This window comes from Homo sapiens, chromosome 18, assembly GCF_000001405.40.
Source record: "Homo sapiens chromosome 18, GRCh38.p14 Primary Assembly".
Classification (NCBI taxonomy): Eukaryota; Metazoa; Chordata; class Mammalia; order Primates; family Hominidae; genus Homo; species Homo sapiens.
In genome coordinates, this window is record NC_000018.10 from 51838112 (window position 1) to 51845938 (window position 7827).

At 40.5% G+C, this 7827-nt stretch overlaps 1 pseudogene; it reads right to left on the minus strand.

Annotated features, from left to right (window-relative positions):
* RPS8P3 (ribosomal protein S8 pseudogene 3) lies at window positions 6839-7523 on the minus strand (annotated as a pseudogene).

Here is a 7827-nt window from a genome sequence, read left to right on the forward strand (position 1 = left end):
ACTGCACTCCAGCCTGGGTAACACAGCAAGACCCTACTCAAAAAAGGAATATGATTTGCTAAGCCCTGTGCGCGTCCAAAGAAATTGACTAGAATCATCTGCAGTCGTGTCTACTCTAGAGGCAACAGTTGAGAAAAGTAGCTCAGAATTTCCTTCAAAAGATGATTTCCTTCAAAGAAGACTCCAAGAAAAGGAGATTTAAATGTCATGAGCAGGCCTTGTTATATTAAGGAGGGCACACTTTCATAAAGAGAATATGTGGTCATTGTGAAACTCAGGGCCATTGCTTCTCCATGAGCTCTTAGCAATATTAAATAGAATTTCCATGTTTTATTCACTCTAAGATATATTTAAGAAGTGTTTTCACATTTGTGAACTGAGAGTACATCTTGTAATCATCATAGGCCAGTGATACTGGAATATAGTGATCATTTTTGAGCATGGACATTAAAACTTGCAGAATGGTTCTTGGAGGCCTGAAAGAAAATTCTAGAGACATTAGTTTATCAGTTTTTTTTTTTAAAGTTGCATCACCATTAATGATGAACTGAAGCATGGTATGGAGCGGAAAAGGACAGGTATCATAAGGAGTCATGAAGTGATAAGTGTCATATGCAGAATAGGAAGTGATGAGATTAGCTTATTTTTTTTAATGGGTGAACTATGAGTGACATATGGAAACTAAGTCTAAGTGAATTTAAAAGAGCTCCTGTAAGCTTAAAGTTCTACTCCTAGGTAATAGGAAAGCATGGGCCATATTTTTTTATTGGCAGAATCATTTCTTAGTGATATACCCAGTAATGATATATCTAACATAAATGTTTTCTTAGACTCATTGAAATCGGCATCAAGGGGGTTTTAATGACATGAAGAATGAGTCAAATAAAATTATTCTTATACAACAAAAAAGTAAATAAAATGCAGGCACAGAATCTAAGAACTGGAAAATAATGTGAGTTCTAGTCTCCTTAGTTACTATTTAGCCACAATGTTCACCCTTTCAGGCAATTTTTTTCTCCTTGCTTAAGATGTTTATATTTTAATGACTTTTGATAATTGGGATCCCATTGCTATCTTTAATAAAAAGGAAAGGACTAATATTGGGGGCGTTTTATGTTTAGCATACTGAGGTGCCATGAATCAGTTCATATTGGAAAAAGCTTTTATCCCCCTAGCCATGTGGATGGCAAGGTTTTTATAGGGCCTGGAGTGTCCAGAGAACCCTGGCAGGCTTCTTCTAGCCTTTAGGAGCCTCTATTTTTATTCCTGTGTGGTACAAAAATTATCCTTTGCTGGGTATGTCCCAACCTGGAAAAGGTTGTGAGCACTGCTCTAATAGATTGCCGGTGGCGTCTCTGAAAAAATATGGAATAGACAAAGTTAAAGACCCCATTGCCTCCAAGACCCTGTCATGATTTGCACAGATTATGTCCAGAAGTTTTTGTGCGAGAGTGACTACTGCACTTGCCTAGAGATATTTCTTTCTGCATTTGCAATCCCAGTCAAGCTTGATCAGAACTTACAGTTGTCTTCTTAACAGGTTGGAAAGAGGAACTTCGGCTCTAAAGTAAAGAGTTAAAACATGAAAACAGGCATCAATTCTACAAAAGTGATTTTTTTAAAATGTGGTCTCCGGACCAGCAGCATCAGCATTGTTGGAAATGTTAGAGAGGAAATCTTAGGCCCCAACCTGGACTTATCAAATCAGAAACTGTGGGGTGGGTCTGATGTATCTAGCCTTTAACAAACCTTTCAGATGATTCTGATGCTTGCTTAGGTTCAGGAGCCACAGATTTACAGTGTCCAGAAGACAAAAGGTAACAAAAAAGAATATTTGATCTCTTGTCCAATAGACACTGGAATATGGTCCCTGGGATTGGGGTTATATTTCTCCTGTTGTCTTCTCTTATGCCTTTTGCAAATTATTTAGCTTTGCTAGGCCTCAATTTCTTCCAGTATAAAATGAAGGCAATCAATTAGATATTCTTTATTCCTTGTATGGTTTTTTTAATTGCCCTTCTATGTTTAAATTGCATCATGTGCTGTGTAGCATCTTTTAGTAGAGCATGGAGGCGGGGGAGTACAAGTGGGGGATGCAGCTTCTTCAGGATTCTTTAACCATGCTGAGAAGTGGTGGTGGGGAGGAACTTCTTTCTATCCTGGTAAAGCAGGAATTGCAGGGCTTTTCCTGCCTGATGAGTAAGAGATTGCTGTGAAAAGAATGAGAGTTAAAGATGTTTTTATTCTCTGGGTTCTAATCCTGGCCTTAATATTAACTCTCTCTGTGATATCACATCAGTCTTAACTCTCTGGATCTAAATTCTTCTGTAATGTAAGAAATCAAATAGGAAAACAGTTTTATGTGTCTAGTACAATGATCAGTAGAGAGCAAGTGTCCAATAAATGCTCCGTTTTTTTTCCATCTCAAATATTCTGTTCTTTGCAATTTGCCGGTATTAAAAATGCTTTGCTGGGCGGGCATGGTGGCTCACGTCTGTAATCCCAGCACTTTGGGGTCCGAGACGGGTGGATCACCTGAGATCAGGAGTCGAGACCAGCCTGGCAATTATGGTGAAACCCCATCTCCACTAAAAATACAAAAATTACCCGGGTATGGTGGTACACACTTGTAATCCCAGCAACTCGGGAGACTGAAGTAGGGGGATTGCTTGAACCTGGAAGGCAGAGGTTGCAGTGAGCCAAGATTGCACTGCTGCACTCCAGCCTGGGCGACACAGTGAGACCCTGTTTCAAAGAAAAAAAAAAATGCTTTGCCAACATTGATTTCGTTCCCACATTATTATGTAGGTTCCCAAGACCATCTCTGGAAGGGAAGTATTTGCTGACAGCCTGTTACTGTTCTTGCCAGGTCACATAACCAGTTATCCTTATCCTGTGAAGCCTAACTACCTGCTTTCAAACCAATATTTGAGAGTTCTAAGTACCTTTTAGGATTTGTTGCTTATGTGTACCCGCAGTTTCAGGGTATCCTGTAACTCCAAGTTTCCTCTCCAAAGCTGCTGGCCAAATTACATAGCTCACCCTTGTTTAAATTGGTGGGGGTGGGGGCAACATGAATCTGAGTATATCAATAACATGTCTTAGTTTAATTAAAAATGACCTACCAAAGAATGAATAGAAGAAACTTAATGTTTATGTATTTTATTTATTCTTGCTATTGTTCAATAGAACCTCATCATTCTTGACACTAACAATGTACTAGACACTTTGTATCTTATTCGATTCTTAGAAGAGTCATGTGGGATGGATTGTATTGCCTCCATTTGAGTAACTTGCCCAAGTTCACTCAGTATGCGGCAAAACAAAAAGCGTTTTGAATCTAAGTATTTTTCTTTCCAGGGCCAATGCTTTTTTTTTTTTTTTTTACAGAAGCAAAGCTCTCCTAAAACTTATGTTTGCTGGGTAAATGACTTTAGTGTTTGCATAAGGGGTTCTCTGATTTTCAAAGTTGCTGAGATGGTGTTAAAATTCAAGTTTAATCAATCAACCAATTAGTATTTATTGAATACCTGCTGGGTGTAAGGATTGCACTTGGTGCTATGGGAAATAAACAACAACAACAAAGAATCAAGCTGATCCCCATGCAGGGAAGGAAGAGAAACACATGAAGACTGGCAGCTCACGAGGAGGCGGCTCCCTGGTAGCCAGGCTAGTCAGGAAATGTTTCGTGTTCATGATGGGATTTTCTTACTTTTCCTATTTTTTTTTTTTGAGACAGAGTCTAGTTTTGTCACCCAGACTGGAGTGCAGTGGGTGCAATCTCAGCTCACTGCAACCTCTGCCTCCTGGGTTCAAGGGATTCTCCTGCTTCCGCTTTCCTAGTAGTTGGAATTACAGGTGCCTGCCACCACAATTGGCTAATTTTTGTACTTTTAGTAGAGATGGGCTTTCACCATGTTGGTCAGGCTGGTCTTGAACTCTTGACCTCAAGTGATCCGCCTGCTTCAGCCTGCCAAAGTGCTGGGATTACAGGTGTGAGCCACTGCGCCTGGCCCATGATAGGATTTTTGTTCTTGGAATATCTATCAAGTCTTACTATGTTTCTGGTGTTACCTTATGTAACTTTTACAACTATTCCATCCTCATTTTACTGTTGAGTCAACCAAGATACAGAGGGGTGAAATGAACCTTCCTGATTTATACACTTGGCAAGAAGAAGGGATGAGAATCAGTCCTCAGGCTTTTGAATCCAAGTCTGATGCCCCTTCTATAACATTTATTGGAGTGATCTCTAAGAAAGGGTTGTTAACATTTAGTTTCCCTAAAGTAGGCCTGTAATCTTTTAAATGCCAAGAAACAGGAGTCTGAAGACCATGAGACTTTATTTGTTCACAGTTTTCCTGGGGAACACACAGTGTTTCTGAAGAAAAGACTTTAGTTCTTCCTTCTAATGAAAGCAGTTATGCTGGTATTTGTTCAGGTATGTGCTAGGGATTCAAACTCATAGATATTAAAAAGAGCCATTTAGAATTGTATACTGCTCTTCAGAGACCCTCCTGCCTACCCCCAACTACTTAAAGCAATAAACTGTCTCTCTGTGGGAGGGAAGTACAACCTTTTTGTGGTTCAGCTGCTGAAGCTGGGGGCTCCTTAGTCAGCAGTTGGTCTGAGCTGAGCTGGGCCAGCCTGGGACGGTGGGCTTCCCAGGGACCAGTGTCCTCAGGCAGCTTGTCCCTTGGGGAAAGCAGGACACTAACTTCTGCCTGGGAATTCACCAGGAAGACCAAGCAGAGGAGCAATGTTAGGCCATTTCAGAAAGTTCAGGCGGCTGCTAAGTAGCCTTCCCTGATGGTGCCCACAGCCTGGTAGGTGGCATCAGTATGTTACTCAGCTGCAGTTGTGACTTTGATGGGCATCACCCAGCATGCCTTTGATAGGGAGCAGCAAAACAAGACAGTGAAGACTTTCTTGCTTTGTGAAAAGCATGTCAGTGCAGCCCCAAAGAATGAGGCAAACTCGAAGGGAAGCGTGAACAAAACTGTTTGCTTAACGCGGAGGTGTCCAAGGAGAAATTTGAAGTACCTGCTTTTGTTTGGTTTTGTTTATAGAAAACTTTTAAAAATAACTCCTTTTAAAGCAGAAACCTCTTACTCCTAATATATTATCATAGAGTAATCTAAAGAAATGGTTGTGGTACTTCCTGATAAGAGATTAACATTTAACTTCCCTAGTAGGCATGAGAATGTTCCCAATTAAAAAACTCCAAATATAGTAAAATTTCCTTTCAAGTTCAGATCAGAAAACTGAAATCCTACAACTCCTAGCACAAAGATGTGTATATAATAAACACTCAAAAACATTTATTGCTAAATTAATCTTATTTATTCCATCTTGAAGGCTTTTATCAGAATCCTAATCTTCCTCTACATCCTCATAATGTTTCTATTACATTTAGCCTGGTGTTCAATTTTACTGAATTCTGATTCACAGAGAACTATTAATCCATAGTGTAATTCAATTAATAATAATAATATTCACCAGAGTGCTTCATACCTGCAACATTATGGTTAAGTGGACATAATGCAACCTACGTAATTTACAAATACGAATACTCCAAAATGGGTTAAGCTAAAAACCAGCTTTCCCTGTGTGTTACCTGGATAATGCAAAGCTCTGTTGACTATTCTCATTGTAAAATATATACGGATTGCTACTCCCTACCTTTTTGGTTCTGCCCTGCTTTGTTAGCTTAGTTATCATAAACATTTCTCCACTCGTACCCCAAAGCTATTTGGGAATAGTATATAAAAATATTGGATGTGAACTTCGATTTCTTTTGTTTAAATCATCTTAAGGGTGGAGATATGAAAGACCGAAAGAAGGTAAGCAAGTAAGAAATAATTCAAGTAATGAAACTTTGGATCCTGACAGAACCCCAGTAATTATCAAAACTAGGTGACTCTCTTGTGTATAGATGTGGAATCTCTGAGGCCAGTGAATGTCAGTAGCTTGTTCAAGCTCACCCAGTCAGTGGCAGGTATGTGGTGACCACCTGGGACATCTCAAGGTCATCACTTCAGTGCTTTACCACCAGACAACACTTGGCAGCTAGTTTCCCAGATGTCGACTTGTACTGCACTTGCCTTTGGAGCAGCAGTTGTTGCTTTCTTCTCCCTAGGAGACCAAGAGATGAACTAGATGGTTAGTCAAGTCTTTTTCCAGCACAGTGTGCTGAGTCCAGCTGGAAAATCTTGGAGGAGCCTCGTTTTCCTCACCGGTAAATGAGCAGTGCTTCATATGCAAGCATGCACCACAAGTTCGTAAGAGAAATAGAACCAATGGGAAATTTCAATCAAAGCAGATTACTTCCAGGTTTTCATTACTTGAGCAACACTTGAGTATTGTTTCAGCATTCATCCTTATAGGCACCAAGCAAGAACGTGACTGTCTTCCCAGTTAGCATCCTCCTCTTTGCCATGTACTGTGACTCTGTTTTGACTTAGGACCTTGTCTCTTATTTTCTTATTGGAGTGTTCTTTTACCTTCTCCCAGTTGGAGTAATTTGTATCTCCACTTGGATATGAGCAGCATCTTATCATATGCTCTCAAGTTTTTCTTAGTGCTCTGGCATTTTCTTGAAGAAAAAAAAAAATCAAAAAGAAAAACCCTGCCAACATTCAGGGAAATGGTAAAAAAATGCTCCTAGCAAGGCATTGTCTCTCTTGTTCACAACTATTTCTGTTTCTTTCTTCCACATTCACTATCCAACCTACTCAATATGGCTTGTACTCCTTATAAGCCAACTCACCCACAGTTTCCACTTGCCCTTATATGTTGGCATGAAATTCTTTCTCTAACCCAGTTTTTTTTTTTTTTCACAGAGCAATAAACACTTTTATTACATGGGCAAAGACAGAAAGGATGAGGATGTGTTTGCTTTTCCAGGCCTTGATTTTCCTAAGACAGAACTCCATCTCCTTGCCCTCTAGCACATAGCCATCTGCTTGGCCACACTGTCCCACCCTTGATGTGATGCATGCAAGAAGCCTTCCTTGCTGGAACTGCTCCTCCAGGAGACTGCTGATTTTGGCATTCTGTTTCCTTTTATCGTATTTCTTGTGAATTTTTTTAGGTCGCTTTTTGTTTAAAATCTCCTCCTCCTCAGCAGTCAGCTTGGTCCCCTTCTTGCGGCCCAGGGGCAGCGCATAGTGGGACTGGTACCACTGTTGGTATGGTGCGCTGTTGATGAGCATGATGCATTTCTTCACCAGGGTCTTGGTACGGACCAGCTCGTTATTGAATGCATTGTAGACAACATCGATGATCACTGTTGTGCAAGTACAACACTCTGAGCCCCAGGAGAAATTCCCCTTGTCCAGCCTCAGGGCACAGTATTTCTCATTTCTTCCCTGCACATGGACTGTGTGGATGCGGCAGGGCTAATCTTGGTGTTGGCAACCAGCCGGGCACCCCAGCTCATACTTTCGCTTCTTGTGGTAGGGCTTTCTCTTGCCCCCAGTCTTGCAGCGCTTGTGCTAGTTGTCCCAAGGATGCTCATCGCTGTTTAAAATTTATTTATTTCTTTATTATTTACTTATTTTTCCATAGATTATTGGAGTGCAGGTGGTGTTCGGTTATGTAAGTTCTTTAGTGGTAATTTGTGAGATTTTAATGCACCCATCATCTAAGCAGCATATACTGCACCCTATTTGTAGTCTTTTATCCCTTGCCCCCTCCCACGCTTACCCCCAACTCCCCAAAGAATTGTATCATTCTTATGCCTTTGCATCCTTATAGCTTAACTTCCACATATCAGTGAGAACATACAATGTCTAGTTTTCCATTCCTGAGTTACTTCACTTAGAA